This window comes from Homo sapiens, chromosome 8 (genome assembly GCF_000001405.40).
Source record: "Homo sapiens chromosome 8, GRCh38.p14 Primary Assembly".
Lineage (NCBI taxonomy): Eukaryota > Metazoa > Chordata > Mammalia > Primates > Hominidae > Homo > Homo sapiens.
In genome coordinates this window covers 38,053,372-38,075,506 of record NC_000008.11, presented here as the reverse complement: position 1 = coordinate 38,075,506, position 22,135 = coordinate 38,053,372, and the positions used below count along the sequence as shown (strand labels likewise).

Below are 22,135 nucleotides of genomic sequence, written 5' to 3'. Positions count from 1 at the left end.
ACCGTGTTAGCCAGGATGGTCTTGATCTCCTGACCTCGTGATCCACCCACCTCGGCCTCCCAAAGTGCTGGGATTACAGGCGTGAGCCACCGCGCCCGGGCTATATTTTTAAAAAATATATATTAAATATATATTTAAATACATTAAATATATATTTAAATATTTATACTATATATTTATATATTATATATAAATATATATAAATACAGTATATTTAAATACATTAAATATATATAAATACAGTATATTTAAATACATTAAATATATATAAATATAGTATATTTAAATACATTAAATATATATAAATATAGTATATTTAAATACATTAAATATATATAAATATAGTATATTTAAATACATTAAATATATATAAATATAGTATATTTAAATACATTAAATATATATTTAAATATATAGTATATATACACTATATATTTATATACTATATATACTATATATACTATATATACTATATATACTATATATATCTACTATATATATATAGTATATATATAGTATATATAGTATATATAGTATATATAGTATATAGGTATATATATAGTATATATAGTATATATATAGTATATATAGTATATATATACTATATATAGTAGATAAATATATATATAGTATATATATACTATATATATTTATCTACTATATATACTATATATATACTATATAGTATACTATATATAGTATAGTATATATACTCTATATAAATATATAGTATATATTACTATATATAAATATATACATACTATATAAATATAGAGTACATATACTGTATATTTATATATACTATATATAAATATATCGTATATGTACTCTATATTTATATATACTATATATAAATATATAGTATATATATTTAAATATATATACTATATATTTATATATTATATATAATATATATAATATATAAATATATAGTATATATATTTAAATATATAATTATATATAATATATATAAATATATTATAATATAATATAATATAATATAAATTTAAATATAAATATATAATATATATGAAATATTTTATATAATTATAAATAATTAATATATTAGTTAATATAATTAATATATTAATTATATTAATACATTAATTAATATAAACAATTAAATATTATGTTTAAATATATATTTATATATTTTATATTTAAATATATAGTATGTATATTTATATATTTTATATTTAAATATATATGCTATATATACTATATATTTTATATTTAAATATATAGTATATATACTATATATTTTATATTTAATATATAGTATATATACTATATATTTTATGTTTAAATATATAGTATATATACTATATATTTTATGTTTAAATATATAGTATATATACTATATATTTTATATTTAATATATAGTATATATACTATATATTTTATATTTAAAATATAGTATGTATACTATATATTTTATATTTAAAATATAGTATGTATACTATATATTTTATATTTAAAATATAGTATGTATACTATATATTTTATATTTAAAAATATAGTATGTATACTATATATTTTATATTTAAATATATAGTATGTATACTATATATTTTATATTTAAATATATAGTATATATACTATATATTTTATATTTAATATATAGTATATTTGTATATTTTATATTTAAATATATATAGTATAGCTATATATTTTATATTTATATATATCTATTTATATATTTTATATTTATATATACTATATCTATTTATATATTTTATATTTATACATATACTATATCTATATATTTTATATTTATATATACTATATCTATTTATATATTTTATATTTATATATACTATATATTTATATATTTTATATGTGTATATATACACATATATATATATTTATATATGTGTGTGTGTATATATATATATATATTTTTTTTTACAGAGTTTGGTTTTTCCGTTAACATGCTCCTCTGGAGCCTGAGGAGTTTGGAAACAAGCTGCCTGTTTACCCAGGGACACAGGAGCACTGAATGGCTGGTTCTCCACTCCTTGTGAATGTAGGCTTGGTGCAATCACTGGACTAGGAGAGCTAACATCCTGAAATTATGCAGCTGGGCAGTTGTCCAAGCATGATCCTAGACTAAACCACATTAGCACCACCTGGGAACTGATCAGAAATGCAAATTCTCAGGCTTCATGCCAGACCTACTGAATTAGAATCTCTGGGGGTCAGGCCTCACAATCTGTGTTCTAGTCAGCCCTCCATGTGATTCTGATGCACATGAAGGTTTGAGAACAGCTGATGTAGTGAGATGACAGAGCGGGAGGATGAGCTGGAAGAGGAACAAGTGCTGGAAGCTCAGGGTCATTTTAAGTGCCGAGGGGGTGCATGTGCAACTGAGAAGATGGAAGTTCCTCTGGGAGCTATGAGGAAGACTCACCATGGGTTAGGCCATAGCGAATGTCTCTTGTGAGAGTCCCTGCAGAATGCTGGAGGCCAGAAAGTGGGGCAGGGAAAGGGTGAGATGAACTTTTTTTTCTTCTTTCTTGAGACGGAGTTTCGCTCTTGTTGTCCAGGGTGGAGTGCAGTGGCATGATCTAGGCTCACTGCAACCTCCACCTCCCGGGTTTAAGTGATTCTCCTACTTCAGCCTCCCAAGTAGCTGGGACTACAGGTGCGCGCCACCATGCCCGGCTAATTTTTGTAGTTTTAGTAGAGACAAGGTTTCACCATGTTGGCCAGGATGGTCTCGATCTCTTGACCTCGTGATCCACCCACCTCAGCCTCCCAAAGTGCTGAGATTACAGGCATGAGCCACCGCGCCTGGCCTGAGATGAACTTTTTCCCTTACCCCAGTCACCTCAAGTTCTGACCAGGATGTGGTAGGTGGGTTTTTCTGCTGGAACCTGCAGGCGATGAATCATGGTGCTGGCACTTAGAGTATGAATGAAGCTGTGTAGTACAAGAAACCCAAATATCTGGGAGAGGTCAAGAGGACAGCAGTCATGAGAGACCTGAAGTAGGGGAAATCTAAGAGTGGGCTTGCCTGCCTCATGGAGGGGACGAGATGGACTCTTTTTTTGTTTGTTTGTTTGACACAAAGTCTCGCTCTGTTACCCAAGCTGGAGTGCAGTGGCGCCATCTCAGCTCACAGCAATCTCCGCCTCCTGGGTTCAAGTGATTTTTGTGCCTCAGCCTCTAGAGGCTGGGATTACAGGTGTGCACCACCACGCCCAGCTATGTTTGTATTTTTAGTAGAGATAGGGTTTCACCATGTTGGCCAGGCTGGTCTTGAACTCCTGATCTCAAGCAATCTACCTGCCTTGGCCTCCGAAGTGCTGGGATTACAGGCGTGAGCCACCGCGCCTGGCCAAGATGGACTCCTGAGAAGAGACAATGTCATGACCTCCTTTCTCTCTTCCTTGACAAAAGGAAGGTTCCGATTGAACCAAAAACTTTAATACTGTGATACCCTACCTTGTTTTAACCTGAATTTACTCTCCCTTAGCTGAGAGAGCCAGACAAACTCCATTTTGGCTCCTTCACTTGCAGCCCCTTGCAGCCTCTTACCCACCCCCTTCCTCAATGACTTAACTTGTGCAAGCTGACTCCCAGCACATCCAAGAATGCAATTAACTGATAAGATACCGTGGCAAGCTATACCCGCAGTTCCCAGGAATTTGCCCGGTTGATAGTACTCTAAGCCCCCCGCATTTGTGTCTGGTTGATAGTACCCAAAGCCTCCACATCTATCACCTTGTGATGGATTTAAAGCCCCTGCACCTGGAACTGTTTGTTTTCCCGTAACCATTTGTCTTTTTAACTTTTTTGCCTGTTTTACTTCTGTAAGATTGCTTCAGCTAGGCTCCCCCTCCCCTTTCTAAACCAAAGTATAAAAGAAAATCTAGCCCCTTCTTCGGGGCTGAGAGAATTTTGAGCACTAGCCGTCTCTCAGTCACCGGCTAATAAAGGACTCCTGAATTCGTCTCAGAGTGTGGCGTTTCTCTATAACTCGCTCGGTTACAACAATGCAGTTACTGACTCAAGGATTTAAGTTTTCTTGATTCAGGCCCAAGAGCCAGGGCCCTTTGTCATCCACCCACTGAATCCCAATACCCATCTGGCCGCTGAAGCAGCTGTATTTGTTCACATATTAGCCTGTGTGAGCCCTGTGCATGGCTGGCCAGCTGTCTGACAGGTCAGGATCAACAGCACTCCCTTGGGCTGACAATGTCCTCCTGCTTGTGGTGGCCCATCCTCAGCCCTGCAGGAACCTGAAAGAAGCTGACAGGTTCAATGTAAGGAAGGAAGAACTGAATTCTTAAGGAGGGAGAAGAGGCGTGGCTGAAGGTTTTGGTTGGAGGTGGTAAATAGGATATCTTGTCAACAGGAGGACTATCTGCTCATGATTGAATGGCATTTCCAATCATATCTTGACTATAGCAAAGAATAGTGATGCCATCTTGTTCCTCTATGATTTGAGATCTCCAAACCTATGACTGAAGAGACACAGGTAGTAGGCCTCATGGTATACACACTACAAGGTTCCCACACAAGATAATCTTTTGCCCCTGGGCAGTATGTTGGCCCTTTGTAATGCAAAATGCTAATCTAGTTTAAACGGTGCTATGGTTTGGGTGTGGTTTGTCCATATCGAAACTCATGTTGAAAGTTCATTGCCAATATAATGGTGTTGGGAGGTGGTGCCTTTAAGATGTGATTATGTTAAGGTAGATTAATGTCCTTTTTTTTTTTTTTTGAGACAGTCTCTCTGTGTCACTCAGGCTGGAGTGCAATGGCACAATCTTGCCATTGTGCAATGGCACAATCACTGCAACCTCCACCTCCTGGGCTCAAGCGATTCTCCTGCCTCAGCCTCCCGAGTAGCTGGATTACAGACACCCACCACCGTGCCTGGCTAATATTTGTAATTTTAGTAGAGACGAGGTTTCACCATGTTGCCCAGGCTGGTCTCAAACTCCTGACCTCAGGTGATCCACCCACCTCGGCCTCCCAAAGTGCTGGGATTACAGGCATGAGCCACTGTGCCCGGCCCCTTTTTTTTCTTTTAACATGTGTTTTTTCATTTATTTATTTTTGAGACAGGGTCTCGCTTTGTTGCCCAGACTGGAGTACAGTGGTGCAATCATAGCTCACTGCAGCCTCCATCTACCTGGCTCAAGTGATCCTCCTGCCTCTGAGTAGTTGCTCAAGTTATCCTCAGTCTGCTGAGTAGTTGGGACTACAGGTGCACACCATTGTACCTGGCTAATTTTTTATTTTTTATTTTTAGTAGAGACAAAGTCTCACTATGTTGCCCAGGCTGGTCTGGAATTCCTGAGCTCAAGTGATCCTCCCGCCTCAGTCTCTCAAAGTGCTGGGACTACAGGCATGAGTCGCTGTGCCTGGCCTATTTTAAAATTTATTTTTGAGATAGAGTCTTACTCTGTTGCCCAAGCTGGCCTCAAATTCCAAGCTGAGCCCAAGCAATTTTCCCACCTCAGCCTCCCGAGTAGCTGGGACTAGGGGCACTCACCCCCACACAGGGCTAGGATAGAGTAATGTCTTTCTCTGGAGACTGGGTTAGTTCACACAGGAATAGATTAGTTCCCTCGAGCTCATATTGTTTTAAAGTAAGGTGTTTGGCCCCTTTCTTGCACATACCCACTTCCTCTTCTTCTTCTCTGCCTTGTTGTGACACAGCATGAGTCCTTACCAGAAGTCAAGCAGATGCTTGTGCCATGCCCTTGGACTTTCCAACCACCAGAATCATGAGCCAAATAAACCTCTTTTCTTTACAGATAAACCAGCTTCAGGTATTCTGTTATAGCAACACAAAATGGAACAAGACAGATAGATAGATGCCATCTATGGAGGAAAATAGAGAGGAAGTCATGCTATTTATCCCAAATCAGACCAGCATTACTAACATAATCTGTTAGTGAATTAAATAAGACTGTGGCAAAGTTCATCAGGCTTAAGGAGTATTTGGATGTCCTATAGTTAATAATAGTATATTATGTATTTCAAAATTGCCAAGAGTAATCTGTCATGGGATTAAGAGTAAAAAAAAAAATTTTTTTTAAAGAAATTTAAAGTGGCTGGGCATGGTGGCTCATGCCTGTAATCCCAGCACTTTGGGAGGCTGAGGCAGGCAGATCAACTTAGGTCAGGAGTTTGAGACCAGCCTGGCCAACATGGTGAAACCCCATCTCTACTAAAAATACAAAAATTAGCTGGGTGTGGTGGTGGGTGCCTGTAATCCCAGCTACTCGGGAGGCTGGGGCAGGAGAATCGCTTGAACCCAGGAGGCAGAGGTTGCAGTGAGCCAAGATCCCACCATTGCACTCCAGCCTGGGCGACTAGAGCAAAACTTCGTCTCAAAGAAAAAAAAAAAAAAAAAAAAAGGGCCAGGTGCAGTGGCTCACGCCTGTAATCCCAGCACTTTGGGAGGCCAAGGTGGGTGGATCATGAGGTCAGGAGATCGAGACCATGGTGAAACCCCATCTCTACTAAAAATACAAAAAATTAGCCGGGCAAGGTGGCGGGCACTTGTAGTCCCAGCTACTTGGGAGGCTGAGGCAGGAGAATGGTGTGAACCTGGCAGGCGGAGCTAGCAGTGAGCTGAGATCACGCCACTGCACTCCAGCCTGGGCAACAGAGCCAGACTCCGTCTCAAAAAAAAAAAAAAAAAAAGAAATTTAAAGAAAAAAAAAGAGAAAAATACACAAAATTGCCGAGAATAAAATTCAAATGTTCTCACCACAAAAAAATGATTATGCAAGCCTGGGCAACAAGGCAAGACCCTGTCTCTACAAAAAAATAAAAAAAAGTAGACAAGTGCAGTGGTTTATGCCTGTGGCCCCAGCTACATGGGAGGCTGAGGCAGGAGGATTGTTTGATCCAAGGAGGTGAGGCTACAATGAACTCTGCTCACATCATTGCACTCCCGCCTGGGTGACAGAGCAAGAGCTTGTCTCAAAAAAGAAAAAAAAAGTAAGCATTTGAGGTGATTGATATGTTAAACAGCTTGATTTAATCAGTCTGCACTGTATACATATGTCATAACATCACTTTGTACCTCATAAATGTATACAATTGTAATTTGTCAATTTATAATAAAACAATTAAAAATCACATTTAAAAACGTAAAAGACTACTTGGGTATCAGTGTCGCTGTGTAGGTCATCAGAGCTTTCTCCTATGCTGTAGATGTCCCTCATTGGAGTGAAGAGGCTGGGGAGCTGTGAATGGGTTTTTTGGTTGCTTCCTGAAAGGCTCAGAAGCTGAAACTAGGCCAGGCACGGTGGCTCACGCCTGTAATCCCAACACTTTAGGAGGCCGAGGAGGGCGGATCACCTGAGGTCTGGAGTTCGAGGCCAGCCTGGCCGACATGGTGAAACCTCATCTCTACTAAAAATGCGAAAATTAGCCAGGTGTGGTGGCAGGCACCTGTAATCCCAGCTATTTGGGAGGCTGAGGCAGGAGAATTGCTTGAACCTGGGAGGCGGAGGTTGCAGTGAGCCGAGATTGTGCCATTGCACTCCAGCCTGGGAGACAAGAGCGGAACTCCGTGTCAAAAAAAAAAAAAAAAAAAAAAAAGCTGAAACTGTCCCAGGAGTTGGAGGATAACCTGAATATCCAGGATTCCTATGCAAATCTGAAACCTATCCTATAGAGGCTAAGGAAGAAGTTTTGAACAGCCCAGAGTCCTGACTGTTTTTGGAAGGTAGTGCAGTACCTAGGAAAATGTTCAAATGCAACCTCATGGTAGAAGCTCGGGTTGAGAAATGCCAGACAAGAGTAAACAGTGTTCCTGGCTGGAATTCCTTGGCAGATAGAGTCAGCTGGCGGCTGCTGGCCAGAGAGATGGGTCGAGGATCAAAGGGCAGTATGACCATGTGCATGGCTGCGCTTGGTCGAAGGGAGGAAGCAGGGCTATAACTAGCTTGTCCCAAACCAAGTCTGGGCATCGCAGGCAGATTCTATACTATGTCTGGTTCTGCCCCACAACACAATCCTGCCCACTGTGTCTGGAAAACTTCTTCCTAAGTATTCCTTTCAGACAATGAGGATACAGTTGCATGATCTCGATAGAAAAAATGTGGAGAAATGTGCTTAAGTCTTGAATACATATGGCATCCTCACTTTTCTTCACCTAACGGAGTGCAATAACCATTTCCTAGACGTACCCAGCCTTCCTTGCTTTAATGAACTCTACCAGCAGGCGGCAGCACAAAGACGAGGCTTGCAACATCATTCCGCGCAGAACCCAAGACCAAGGAACAAACAAGGACGGATTTAAGGCTCCTCCTTAGAAAAACGTCTTCCTATGCTGTTTTGCATAGGAAACGGCCTCTGATTTGCAGCTGGGGGTTGGAGGGATTCACCTTCACTTTGCTGTGGCCCAAGAGCCCTTCTCTTCCCTACTCTCCCTGCAGCATACTCTCTGGAGTGTGTTAAACTCAGCAAAACCTAATCCTTAAGGGTTGCACTTTCCCCCCGGTTAACCGGCAGAAAGCGGGTTCCTTGCCTTTTCCTGCTGACGAAAAAACAGGGCTTTATTCAGTTATCTCCGTCTATGCTGTTACTGGGGTGCTTGTTCCTCCATGCAGGACTGATTGTCCCACAGCAAGGAGCACATGTCCTCTGCTTGCGGAGAGGAAGTGTTGGTCATGCTCAATTCTGCACCTTATTTCGAGGAGGTCAGGTTTGTGATGTCTGCAATGAAAGCAGAGTGCACACATGGCTGCTGCATCATTGGAAGGTCTGCTCCTTGAAGGCAGGGCTTTGTGTTATCCACTCTACCCCTAGTGCTTAAAACAGTGCCTGGCACACAGTAGGCACTCAACAAATAGCCCTTGAGTAAATGAGAAAAGGCTATCAACCTTATACTCCTTTGTTTTCACTACCTCACTTCCCCAAACCCATGAATTCTAAGCAACTCACCAAACACCTGAATGACTTCCTGGCTCCAGGTCTCTCCTCTACCTGCTTTACCTTGACACTCACCTGTCACTGCCTGTTCTGACATCTCCAACCAGTATCCCAGTTGCCTATAGCTCAGAGTCAGAACAGCCCAGACTTCAGTTCTATTCACAGTGTGGCACTAAGAGCATAGGTTTTGGAGGCTGCGCATGGTGGCTTATGCCTGTAATCGCAACACTTTGGGAGGCCGAGGCAGGAAGATCACTTGAGGCCGGGAATCCAAGACCAGCCTGGGCAACATGGCAAGATCCCCGTCTCTAAAACAAAACAAAACAAAACCTGATAGGTTTTGGGGCTGAAAATACAGGAGTTGGAATTCTAATTCTGGCCCTCACTAGCCATGGTCATGTGTAAAACAGGAATAAAAATACTAACCTCATAAATTATGGAGATCCTAAATAAGATTTTAGTGAAGCTCCAGACAGGCAGAAGACATTCCATCTTTTTTTTTCTTTTGACATTCCATTCATGCTTTTTTTTTTTGGTTCCAACAATTAAATCCCATGCTATCTAAACCTACTACGTGCTACCCAACCCAGCAACACACAACTGACTAAAAATATCCTAGTATCTTACACATGCTGGATTCATTCTAGACACACTTTTGTGAATGCAATTCCTTCTCCTTTTTTTGACTCTGTTACCCAGGCTGGAATGCAGTGGCACGATCTCAGCTCACTGCAACCTCCATTTCCTGGGTTCAAGCAATTCTTCTGCCTCAGCCTCCCGAGTAGCTGGGATTACAGGAATGCGCCACCACGTCCAGCTAATTTTGTATTTTCAGTAGAGACGGGGTTTCTCCATGTTAGTCAGGCTGGTATCGAACTCCCGACCTCAGGTGATCCGCCTGCCTTGGCCTCCCAAGGTGCTGGGATTACAGGCGTGAGCCACTGCACCCAGTCCTTTTTCTTTTTTCTTAAACAGAGTCTCACTCTGTCGCCCAGGCTGGGGTGCAGTGGTGCAATCCTGGCTCACTGAAACCTTTACCTCCTGGGTTCAAGAGATTCTCCTGCCTCAGCCTCCCGAGTAGCTGGGACTACAGGCGCCCACCACCATGCTCAACTAATTTTTGTATTTTTAGTAGAGACAGGGTTTCACCATGTTGGGCAGGCTGGTCTTGAACCCCTGGCCTCAAGAGATCACCTCCACCTCAGCCTCCCAAAATGCTGGGATTACAGGCATGAATCACTGCGCCCAACTTCAATTTCTTCTATAGTCTACATATTCTTCCCACTGTCACTGATCGTCCCTGTCTTGCTGACCTGTCACATTTATCACTCCATTTATTTGTACCTAATCATGCCTCCTTGGATTATGTCACATTTTCTCAGGCATTTGTTTAAAAATTCTCTTGTATTGCCTCAAGATCTAGCATTTACTAGACGCTTAGTAAATGCTTGTTAAATCAGAGTTCAGTTGGGGCCCGAGCTGTGGCTCATGCCTTTAATCCCAGCACTTTGGGAGGCTGATGAGGGCAGTGATCACTTGAAGCTGGGAGTTCGAGACCAGCCAGGTCAACATGGCAAAACCCTGACTCTACTAAAAGTAGAAAAACTAGCTGGGCGTGGTGGCACATGCCTGTAGTCCCAGGTACTTGAGAGGCTGAGACAGGAGAATTGTTTGAACCAGGGCAGCAGAGGTTGTAGTGAGCCGGGATTGTGGCACTGCACTCCAGCCTGCGTGACAGTGAGACTCCGTCTCAAAAAAACAAAACAAAACAAAAAAACCAGAGGTTGGATTTACCTGGAAAAGACCACTTGGAGTCTTTTGCTGAATCCCACCCTTCTGGAAGTACTGGTTTTTAGGTGGCAAGACTATGAGCCTTCTTTTTTTTCTTTTTTTGAGATGGAGTTTCATTCTTGTTGCCCAGGCTGGAGTGCAAACAGCGTGATCTCGGCTCACTGCAAACTCCGCCTCCGGGGTTCAAGCGATTCTCCTGCCTCAGCCTCCCAAGTGGCTGGGATTACAGGCATGCGCCACCACGCCCAGCTAATTTTGTATTTTTAGTAGAGATGGGGTTTCTCCATGTTGGTCAGGCTGGTCTGCAACTCCTGACCTCAGGTGATCCGCCTGCCTCAGCCTCCCAAAGTGCTGGGATTACAGGCGTGAACCACCGTGCCCAGCCAAGTATGAGCCTTCTTGATTGGCCACATGTCCTTAGGCTTTTCCTTGAGTCATCTTGATAGATGTCGCACTGAAAGGCGCCAGGAAAAAGGCGGCCTGGTCGATACCTGTCTGGCTACCTGGGAGTTGGAGCGATGCCCACAGCTGTGTCAATAGCAGCCTGGAGGTTGGAAAATCACCAGCAGTTCAGCTCCCCACACTCCACTCATGCTCACTGGGAACATTCCCCACAGTTCCATCTTTGGTCTCCTTGCTGTTCACTCTGCATAATTCCTAAACCAGCAATTCCTTTCTGACCTCTTGCCTGGATCTCCTGGACCAGAAACCTTCAACACATCCCTCCTCCCTCTACCTCACCCAAGGGTGTCAGTCTTTCTTCTCAATACAGCCCATTCCCATCTCCACTGCTAGGCCAGCCTCTTCATTTGTGCACAGAAAGCCTAACAGCATCCACATTTCTCCAGTTGACCTATTCCTGGGGGCTCCTGTACCTTACGCCATTCATGACGCAGGAATCCTACCAGTCCTATCAAGCCACACCTCCTTCGTGAAGGCTTCTCAAACCTCAGATTCCTCTAACTTGGGACATGCACAGCCTCCCCTCCATTCAATGGACAAGCACATAAGTATTGCTTTGTATTTCCAATGACCATTTACTACTTGGAATACTTCTCGTCTCCTGATCAGGTTGTAAGCTCTTTGAGAATACACAACATAGCTAAAAACATGCATTTGTCTCTTCTGGGTCTTGGCATGTGGTATCTGTCCAACAGTTGTCAGAGTGTTCCCCAATTGCAACAACAGTGGTTTTGGTGATGTTGGAGGGTGGCAGGGGCCAAACTGTGATGGTCCCCTAGAGTGAGCATCTCTATGAGCTTTAGGTCTCAATGCACAGGCATGTTCAGCTGGACCACAACAGTCTCGCTTTCCTTAAGATTTTAACTTCCTTGTGGACAAGGACTGTGTTGTCGATCATGGCCACACCACAGCACCCGGCCAGAATTGACACTCAAAACACACCTGGGGTCCTCAGGAGGATGCTTTTGCTCAGTGGGAAAGGGACACACTTTTTTATTTCTTCTTTTTATCTCTATTTTTCATAGAGATGGGGGTCTTGCCATGTTGCCCAGGCTGGTCTCAAACTCCTGGCCTCAAGTGATCCTCATCTTGGCCTTCCAAAATGCTGGATTACAGGCATGAGCCACCATGCTCAGCCTGAAAAATTATCTTACTGTGGCCCCTGAACTATCAGATACATCATTTTTTAATGATTTATTTACCTGTCTCTTAGACCCTGAGACGTAAGACCAAGAAGGGAAATGGACCTGTAGGCTGGCAAGACCTCTGGTGGGATGTCAGAGTGAGATTTTTTTTTTTTTCTGTGAGTCAGTGTCTCACTCTGTCACCCAGGCTGGAGTGCAGTGGTGCGATCTCGGCTCACTGCAACCTCCGCCTCCCAGGTTCAAGCGATTCTCGTGCCTCAGCCTCCCGAGTAGTTGGGATTACATGCGTGCACCACCACGCCTGGCTAAGTTTTGTATTTTTAGTACAGACGGGGTTTTGCCATGTTGGGCAGGCTGGTTTCAGACTCTTGACCTCAAGTGATCTGCCCACCTTGGCTTCCCAAAGTGCTGGGATTACAGGCATGAGCCACCTCGTCTGGCCGCGTTTTTTTTTTTTTAAGAGACAAGGTCTTGTTCTGTTGCTCAGGCTGCAGTGCAGTAGTGCAATCATAACTCACTGCAGCCTCGATCTCCTGAGCTAAAGTGATCCTCCCTCCCCAGCTTCCCAAGCAGCTGGGACTACAGGTGTGCACCACCATGTCTAGCTAATTTGTAAATTTTTTTGGTAGTAGAGATGGGGTCTCACTATGTTGCCCAGGCTGGTCTCGAACTCCTGGCCTCAAGTGATCCTCCCACCTTGACCTCCCAAAGCTTTGGGATTACAGGCAGGAACCACTGTGCCTGGCCTTGGAGCATGATGCTTTTATTGGAAAGTTACGGGATTGGGAAGGCTGACCCAATCTCTCCTTTGAGCCTACTTGAAGCTTTCATTATTCTTTGCACCAGTGGTGGCCCATCCCTAGCCTCTCTTTTCCATCCATACGGACAGACTTTGCTGCGTGCTTGGAGGCAACGTGCCAAAGGCCAGGCCTGCCACACATCACCATGCACCTGGACTCAGCTGCTTTCAGTCCTTGTGAGGGAAGGGGGCTGCAACCCAGCTATAGAAAAGGCCAAGCAAGCAACTTGGCCACTGAAGGTCTGCTGCTCTCCAAACAGCAGGTGGACAAGTGCTATGTGCTCGGAGCTTGTTAAGTAAATGCCAGCCACTGCCTCTTGTTCATAGGCCATCCACCCACCAGCATACCCTGTAATAAGAAATTCCTATTGCTTCTCAGCAAAGATCTCTGCCTAGTTACCATTCAAGACCTTCAGAAACCTCACCCTTCTTTGGCCATTTGTTAAAGTCATTCTCACCCATACAAACTGCCTGCTCTGACCAAAGCAGGCTACTATGTCTCTTCCCTGAACACCCCAGCTCCCCAAGACCATCTGAGCTTGGCAACACTGGGCCCCTGCCTCCCCCAACCCACTCATTCCCAGGGTCCAGCTGTAGCATCACCTCCATGAAGCCTCTACTCTGTCACTGGAGTGCAGTGGCACAATCGTGGCTCACCACAGCTTTGAACTCCTGGGCTCAAGTGTTCCTCCCACCTCAGCCTCCTGAGTGGCTAGGACCACAGGTGTGCACCACCATGTCTGGCTACTTAAAAAATTTTCTGTAGAGACGGGGTCTTACTGCGTTGCCCAGACTGGTCTCCCACTCCTGGCCTCAATCAATCCTCCCACCTCAGCCTCCCAAAATCCTGGGATTACAGGCTTGAACCACTGTGCCCAGCCTATGCTACCTTTACTTTCGGGCAAATCTTACATTTCAATGAAATTTTCAAGGCAGAGAGCTTGTCTGTGTTTGTGCCACACATGACAGCTCACACAAAGCGATCAATTGGCAAAGGTCGAGTGCCCGCAGATCAGATGCCACACTGGCCAAGGCAGGGGCTCTTCCCTTTGACTCTTGCATGGAATGGGCCCTGACGGGAAGGTGCCAAACTCGACAGGCTTGGGGTTGAGAGAAGGGGGAGAAAGCACAGAAGCGAGGCAGCTGCCTTGCTACTGAAAAACAAGAGATCAAGAATACCAGGGTATGGGCTGGGCGTGGTGGCTCACATCTGTCATCCCAACAATTTGGAACGCTGAGGTGGGAGGATCACTTGAGACCAGGAGTTCAAGACCAGCCTGGGCAACATAGCAAGACCTTATCTCTACTCACAAAAAACTTAGCCAGGTGGTGGTGTGAACTTGTAGTCCCAGCTACTCAGGAGGCTGAAGCAGGAGGATTGCTTGAACCTAGGAGTTTGAGGCTGCAGTGAGCTAGGACTGTGCCACTGCACTCCAGCCTGGGAGACAGAGCAAGACTTCGTCTCGGAAAAAAAAAAAAAAAAGAGTAGCAGGACTCAAATCCAGTCCCATGTGCCATTCAGCAGCTGCACGATTTTACCTGTTCTTGTGCCAGTCTTCTCAGCTGTAAAGTGAGGATAACAGTTGTTCTACTTACCCACAGGATCAGAGTCAGAATCAAATAAGGACAGGCCCACGCTTTAGAAGCACTGTACAAGGCTGGGCACGGTGGCTTACACCTGTAATCCCAGCACTTTGGGAGGCCAAGGCGGGTGGATCACCTGAGGTCAAGAGTTCGAGACCAGCCTGGCCAACATGGTGAAACCCTGTCTCTACAAAAATACAAAAAAATACTAGCTGGGCATGGTGGCGGGCACCTGTAATCCCAGCTACTCGGGAGGCTGAGGCAGGAGAATTGCTTGAACCCAGGAGGTGGAGGTTGCAATCAGCTGAGATTGCGCCATTGCACTCCAGCCTGGGCCACAAGAGTGAAACTCCGTCTCAAAAAAAAAAAAAAAAAAAAAGCAGCAGCACTGTACAGATAGCAGCTGGTGTTAGTTACCAAACAGAGTTGAAAAAAGCTCAGACGGGGCCCAACTCTTGGCCCTAGGGCGAAGGTGGCTTTTATTTCCTCTCTTGGGGAAGGAGGGGGAGGGAGCTTTCCCAAGCACATCAACCTAAGGAAGGGGTGGTTGCGCCCCCAGCAGCGAGGGGCTGGAACTGCTGATCATTCGGAAGGAAGGGTTCGTTCTTGTCCACTTCCTGGCCCTTGGCTGCAGGGTGTGCTGGCAGGGGTCACTCCCCTTGGGGTGGCAGCTCCTGCATCAGTGGAGGCACAAGGAGGTATCTGCTGGTGTTCACGAAGAGGAGGGGGCAGGTGCCCTGAGTGAGGGAGAAAGGGCTGGGGTGTCCGACCCCACGCCAACGCCTGCCCAGTATGATCACTTTCATAAGGCCTGGCTGGTGGGACTCCTCCCAGGAAGGCCCTGAGGGGCCCCTTGGTAGTGCTCCACACGATGGCTGGTGCTTTAAATGTCCATCTCAAACTGTGACTCTTCACCTGGGGAGAGAGGGGACAGAGGGCCAGGTCAACAATGGGTGAATGCTTGGTATATGAGGCCATTCTTTCATTGCTATAAAGAAATACCTGAGGTTGGGTAATTTATAAAGAAAATAAGTTTTTTTTTGTTTTTTTGTTTTTTTTTTTTGAGATGGAGTCTCACTCTGTCTCCGAGGCTGGAGTGCAGTGGCCCAATTTCGGCTCACTGCAACCTCCGCCTCCTGGGTTCAAGCGATTCTCCTACCTAAGCCTCCCAAAAGAGTAGCTGGGATTATAGGCACCCACCACCACACCCAGCTAATTTTTGTATTTTTAGTAGACCCGGGGTTTTGCCATGTTGGCCAGGCTGGTCTCGAACTCCTGATCTCAGATGATCCACCCTCCTCAGCCTCCCAAAGTGCTGGGATTACAGGTGCGAGCCACCGTGCCCAGCCAAGAAAAGAGGTTTAACTGGCTCGCGGTTCTGCAGGCTGTACAAGCATGACGCCGGCCTCAGCTTGGCTTCTGGGGAGGCCTCAGGGGGCTTTTCGTCATGGTGGAAAGCAAAGCGGGAGCAGGCATGTCACATGGAGGAAGCAGGAGCAAGAGAGAGGGTGGAGTGGCGCTCCCACACTTTACAACAACCAGATCTCGAGAGAACTCATTCACTATCATGAGGACAGCACCAAGCTGTGAGGGATCTGTCCCCACGACCCAAACACCTCCCACCAGGCCCTACCTCCAACACTGGGGATTACAATTTAACATGAGATTTGGGCAGGGACAAATATCCAGACTATATCATTTCGTCTGACTCTTGTTGTTTTTGCTTTTTTCTTTAGAGACAGGGTCTCACTCTCTTGGCCAGGCTGGCGTGCAGTTACGCAATCATAGCTCACTGCAGCCTTGACCTCCTGGGCTCAAATGATCCTCTGGCCTCAGCCTCCCAAGTAGTTGGGATTACAGGCATGCACCACCATGCCTGGCTAATTTTAAAATTTTATGTAGAGATGGGGTCTTGCATTGTTGCCCAGGCTGGTATTGAACTTCTGGCCTCAAGTATTCATCCTGCCTCAGCCTCCCAGAGTGCTGGGATTTCAGGCATGAGCCACTGTGCCTGGCCACCAGCTGATGTTTTTAGGGGCCAGGGACAGCCCCTATTTTTTGAAAGTAGATAACTTGTTTAGTTTCACAGGCTCACAGCTGGAAGGAAATTAAGCTTGAGATGAATCATGCTGTGAGTCTTGTCTGATTCAGATGAAATTCTGGACTTTGAACTTTTGAGCTAGGACTGCAACGTGTTAAGTCTTTGGGGATATGGGGACCAAATTAATATATGTGTATATGAGAAGGACATGAGTTTGGGGGGTCCAGGGCTGGAATGCTATGGTTTGAAATTCATACAGAAACTTAATCCCCAATGTAACAGTATTAAGAGTTGGGGCCGTTAAGAGGTAATTGGGTCATGAAGGCTCTGTCCTCATGAATGGATTAGCCCATTCCTGGATTAATGGGTTACCACAGGAGTGGGCTAGTTATCACAAGAGTGTTATAAAAAGGCAGCTTGGTTCTCTCTCATGTGCCCCTCTTGCCCTGTGATGCCTTCCGCCATGTTATGATGCAGCAGGAGGCCCTCACCAGAAGCCCAGCAGATGCGGGCACCATGCCCTTGGCCTTCCCAGCCTCTAGAACTGTAAGAAATAAACCATTTTTCTTCATAAATTACCCAGTCTCAGGTATTCAGTTACAGCCATAAAAAAACAGACTAAGACACAGGCAACTATTGTCTGTCTTGTACTGTGAGGTTCCCAAGGTAATTATGAATCATGTCCTGCAGGCCCTGGGGAGATTAATTCTGCTGCTGTTAGCAGAGCCAGCCAAGCTGAGGTCCCTGCTGCTTCCTGTCTGGGCCTGGGGTACGGCCTTCCGGGTGAAGGGTCGGCGGGTTCCAATCTGATTATAGTTGCCCGGAAGTGCTTATGCTGCATCATCTTGCAGCAGAGAACTCCAACACTCTGCCAAGCCAGTCAGGATGCCACAAAGAGTGCATTCACTTACACCACTACCACAGTGGCTGCTCTAATTACTCGGGAGGTGGGGACAGCAGGAAGGACCCAGCTACCAAATGTCAAATCGGCAGAGACAACTGGCTGCATTGTTTCTACCTGCCTTCATGAAGATCCACTAGGGGACCAACAGCCCAACAGGAGGCATCCCGGATGTATTTCTTATCTTGTAGACATATAATTTCCCAAAGGACAAGTACACTGTGTCTTTGATAACTTGTCTCTTGCACCACAAACATCATGGGTGTGTTCCAAGTGGAAATGCTTCAGAGACAATTATACAGAGGCACATGCTTACGAAAGTTGCTGTGTGCAGCCGCTGCCATTTCAAACAAACTCCCCGCTAATTACATGACCCAAAGGTGCCAGATCACCTTTCCTGAGGTGCCTGGGCCCCTTTCAGGGGGAAAGTTGCTACCAATGAAGAGTTCAACCTCCCCACCCCTACTCTCACCCTCTGGGCTCTGAGCTGCTCCTTAGAGGGTAGGGCAGAGTCCCTGTTGTTCCTCCTCCCTGGAATTGCCCCCAGTGGATGGACTCCAGGAGCCTCATACATTCCCTTTCCCAAGGTAGAGCCTGGCCAAGCCCCGACACTCACCGCCCGCCCGCTTATCTTCTGGGCTATTGCGCAGGTGGCTCTGGCTGGCTTCCATGGGGGGCTCATCACTGGAAGGGCTGGTGACCCCCGGAATGGTGGGCAGATCCCTTGGGGGTGTTTTGGTCACAGGTGAGTTCCGACACTCCATCAGGAATTTCCGGTCATAGATGATCCTGGTACCTAGAAGGGAACAGGGAGGTTGGTCAAGCCATCTGCAGCCTCTTGCCTGCCGGTTTTTCCACTTTTTAAAGGCGTGGCTGCAGTAGAGGCAGCAGATTCTCCTGAAAAACCCAGAGGAGGCTGGGTGCGGTGGCTCATGCCCATAATCCCAGCACTTTGGGAGACCAACATGGGTGGATCACCTGAGGTCAGGAGTTCGAGACCAGCCTGGCTAACATGGTGAAACCCCGTCTCTACTAAAAATACAAAAATTAGCCAGCGTGGTGGTGGTAGCCTGTAATCCCAGCTACTCAGGAGGCTGGGGCAGGAGAATCACTTGAACCTGGGAGGCAGAGGTTGCAGTGAGCCGATTGCACCACTGTACACCAGCCTGGGTAACAGAGCGAGACTCCTTTTCATAAAAAAAAAAAAAAAAAAGCCAGAGTAGTGAGGCTTATTTGGGGGCCTGGCTGCCACCCAGAACTCTGCTACCTCCAAACGGCCCCAACTCCCCTTCACATGGAATGATCCAATGGAAGGGGTCTGCAGGCCACCAACTGCACCTGTGTCTTCCCAGAGCTCTGTGCACACTGTGCTCTGTCCCTATAGCCCCTCAGCTCACTCACCCACCTGGGCTTAGTGTTAATTACCCATGACAATCACATACCACGGTGGAAAAAATGCATTTCTAGTCATTATTCAGTCCTGTCCTTACAGCACTCCTGTGGGATACCCAGAATAGCTGCATTTTACAAATGACCAAACAGAAAATACTTGTGATTCAACCAGAGTAGTAAAAATAAGAACTTTTGCCAGGTGTGGTAGCTCACACCTGTAATCTCAGCACTTTGGGAGGCCACCGTGGGAGGACTGCTTGAGCCCAGGAGCTTGAGACTAGCCTGGACAACTTAGAGAGACCTCATCTCTACAAAAATGTTAAAATGAGTCGGGCATGATGGGTACGTGCCTGTAGTCCCAGCTACTCGGGAAGCTGAGACGGGAGGATTGCTTGAGCCCAGGAGGTCCAGGCTGCAGTGAGACCCTATCTCAAAAAGACAGTTCCAAAAAAAAAAGAGAGAAATGCCTGGGCTTTGCGGAGAAGAGCCAGAGGCAGGAGTGAAGGGTGGGCTCTCCTGCTGAGCCCCTCCTTTGTGAGGCCCCCAGTGTGTCCTGCCAGTGTGTCACTGACCTTGGAATTCTACCCCACCATCCCAAGTAGCTGGGATTATAGGTGCGTGCCACCATGCCCAGCTAATTTTTTGTATCTTTAGTAGAGACGGGATTTCACCATGTTGGCCAGGCTGGTCTCAAACTCTTGACCTCGTGATCTGCCTGCCTCGGCCTCCCAAAGTGCTGGGATTACAGGTGTGAGCCACCGTGCCCGGCCCCTTTGTATCTTTTTATAGCTACCTTCTATTTATGGCAAGTGAATCCGGTGTTCCATATATAGTAGTGATAGCAATTCCTTTTAATATACAATAATATAATAATATATTATAGATTCTATAATAAAATAATGTAAATTAAATTCAAAAGCTAAGGTGATATAAAGAAATATTAAATATCTGTACAAGTGGAATGCAAGGTATGGTAATAATTGTGCAGATAAAATATGAATAACCCAAGTTTGGGAATCATGATTTAAGGACTTCAGGAATGCCCTTCCTTAGCAATAACCTTGAAATCTCTCCTTCACTTAGGGGCTATGATGAGTAGCATTCCAACAGCTGAGATTCATTTCTTACACTTTATTTTACTTTTTTGATTTTTAATTTTTATGGATCCATAATAGTTGTACATATTGAGATTCATTTCTTGATGCTCAGCACTGGACTCTGTAAACCCCTGGAAAGGAACCAATTTCCATCTCGGAGTCTGAGTGTGAGTTCCTGAAACGGGGCTCTGTGCTGAGGATGACGTGAGATGCTGAAGGGCAGAGGAATGCAGAGAGATACCTAAAGATAAACTTCACCTGCTGGCTGTGTTCCTCTAGTCTGGCTGTGGCCCCTCCAGGCAGTCACTGGTCTTACTCTCCTGTCCCCTTGCAGGAGAGGCAGTGATACTGAAGCTGACAGCCCTGCTCATTGCCTATGGGACTCCAGCGCACAGCTGTTTCTTAGGAGGAGGGGTGTAAAGAACCAGGGTGCATTTGGGCTCCGTTCCCAGTCAGCTGTGTGACCCTATGCACCTTGCTCCTTGCACCCCCTGTTTTGGGCCTCCATCTCCTCATCTGTAAAATAAAGACCCATGCACCTTCTAGGTCTGAGTGCCTATGAGCCCAGATTACAAATGGAGAGCAGTGGTGCCCTCTCTTTGCAGGGCTGGGGTGACAGTGAGGGGAGGTAAGGGAAGACCAATTTCTAACTCTTTTTTTTAAAAAGTGACCCAGATTTGTTTTGGTTCTAGAGGCCAGATGTGGCACTGCTCCACTCTGCAAGGCTTGGGGTTGTACAATCTCTCCTCCCCAGAGGGGAGGGAAGCCCAGAGACCCCAGGGTCCAGGCAGCGGGGTGGGGACTCAGTGGACAAGTGGCTGGACATCCTGGCTCCAGATGGGACCACTTTTTTTCTGTTGTTTCTTAATCTTTGAGACTCGGCAAGAGTGCCCCCCTTCTTGTTTCCCCCCAACTTTGCTTTTTGTTTGTTTGTTTTGAGATGGAGTCTTGCTCTGTCACCCAGGCTGGAATGCAGTGGCACAATCTTGGCTCACTGCAATCTCTGCCTCCTGGGTTCTAGCAATCCTCCCGCCTCAGCCTCCCCAGTAGCTGGGACAACAGGCATGTGCTATCACGCCCGGCTAATTTTTGTATTTTTTGGTAGAGACAGGGTTTCACCATGTTGGCCAAGCTGGTCTTGAACTCCTGACCTCAAGTGATCCACTGGCCTCAGCCTCCCGAAGTGCTGGGGTTACAGACATGAGCCACACTTTTTTTGTTGTTGTTGGTTTGTTTATCATAGCGTGAAACCTAAGAGTTAAAGATTCAACAGTCTCAAAGAAGCGCCCAGGGGCCAGCAACCATCTGGAGAGCCTCTTTAAAGGTCATCAGCCCCTGGTGACTTTTTAAAAATTGTGGTGAAATACACATAACATTGACCATCTTAAACATTTTCGGTAGGGTGTTGTGCTACCATCACCGCCAATCATCTCCAAAACGTTTTCATCATGTGAAACTGAAACTCTACAACAACTCCCCTTCCCCACTCCCTCTAGGCCCTGGCAAGCAGGGTTCTACTTTCTGTCTCTCTGAATTTGACTACTCTAGGTATCTTATATAGTGAAATCATACAGGATTTGCTTTTTCATGACCGGCTTATTTCACTTAGCATAATGTCCTCAAGGTCCCTCCACACTGTAGCATGTGATAGGATTTCCTTCCTGCTGAAGGCTGAATAATATCCCATTGAGAGTGTGCGCGCATTTTGCTTATCCTTTCCTCTGACTGATGGACACCTGGGTTGCTTCCACTTCTCAGTTATTGTGAATCATGCTGCTATGAACATGGGAATACAAATACTTCTTGAAGATCTTGCTTTCACCAGCCTGGCCAGCATGGTGAAACCCCGTCTCTACCAAAAATACAAAAATTAGCCAGGCGTGGTGGCACACACCTGTAATCCCAGCTACTCTGGACTGAGGCAGGAGAATCGCTTGAACCTGGGAGGCAGAGGCTGCAGTGAGCTGAGATGGCGCCACTGCGCTCCAGTGAGCTGAGATCGCGCCGCTGCCCTCC

The 22,135-nt window shown here is 45.4% G+C and overlaps 1 protein-coding gene across 1 annotated transcript in view, besides 3 other annotated features; it reads right to left on the bottom strand.

Annotated features, from left to right (window-relative positions):
* Positions 2,760-3,485: an enhancer, noted in NCBI's record as "H3K27ac-H3K4me1 hESC enhancer chr8:37929540-37930265 (GRCh37/hg19 assembly coordinates)". NCBI's record gives its function as "activates a minimal SCP1, AML or CMV promoter by ChIP-STARR-seq in naive H9 embryonic stem cells {active_cell/tissue: H9 hESC(naive)}" and the evidence as "EXISTENCE:reporter gene assay evidence [ECO:0000049][PMID:30033119]".
* Positions 4,939-5,666: an enhancer, noted in NCBI's record as "H3K27ac hESC enhancer chr8:37927359-37928086 (GRCh37/hg19 assembly coordinates)". NCBI's record gives its function as "activates a minimal SCP1, AML or CMV promoter by ChIP-STARR-seq in naive H9 embryonic stem cells {active_cell/tissue: H9 hESC(naive)}" and the evidence as "EXISTENCE:reporter gene assay evidence [ECO:0000049][PMID:30033119]".
* EIF4EBP1 (eukaryotic translation initiation factor 4E binding protein 1) overlaps positions 15,142-22,135 on the bottom strand; it is a 29,832-nt gene continuing 22,838 nt past the window's right edge. The window contains exons 2-3 of the mRNA NM_004095.4: positions 18,247-18,426; positions 15,142-15,603 (exon numbers count right to left, since the gene is read on the bottom strand). Coding sequence (NP_004086.1) covers positions 15,572-15,603; positions 18,247-18,426 — 212 coding nt within the window. The 3' untranslated portion in view covers positions 15,142-15,571. The remainder of the gene's footprint in view (positions 15,604-18,246; positions 18,427-22,135) is intronic.
* Positions 21,145-21,358: a silencer, noted in NCBI's record as "fragment chr8:37911667-37911880 (GRCh37/hg19 assembly coordinates)". NCBI's record gives its function as "represses an EF-1alpha promoter that drives an FKBP-Casp9 reporter gene in an ReSE screen in K562 erythroleukemia cells {active_cell/tissue: K562}" and the evidence as "EXISTENCE:reporter gene assay evidence [ECO:0000049][PMID:32094911]".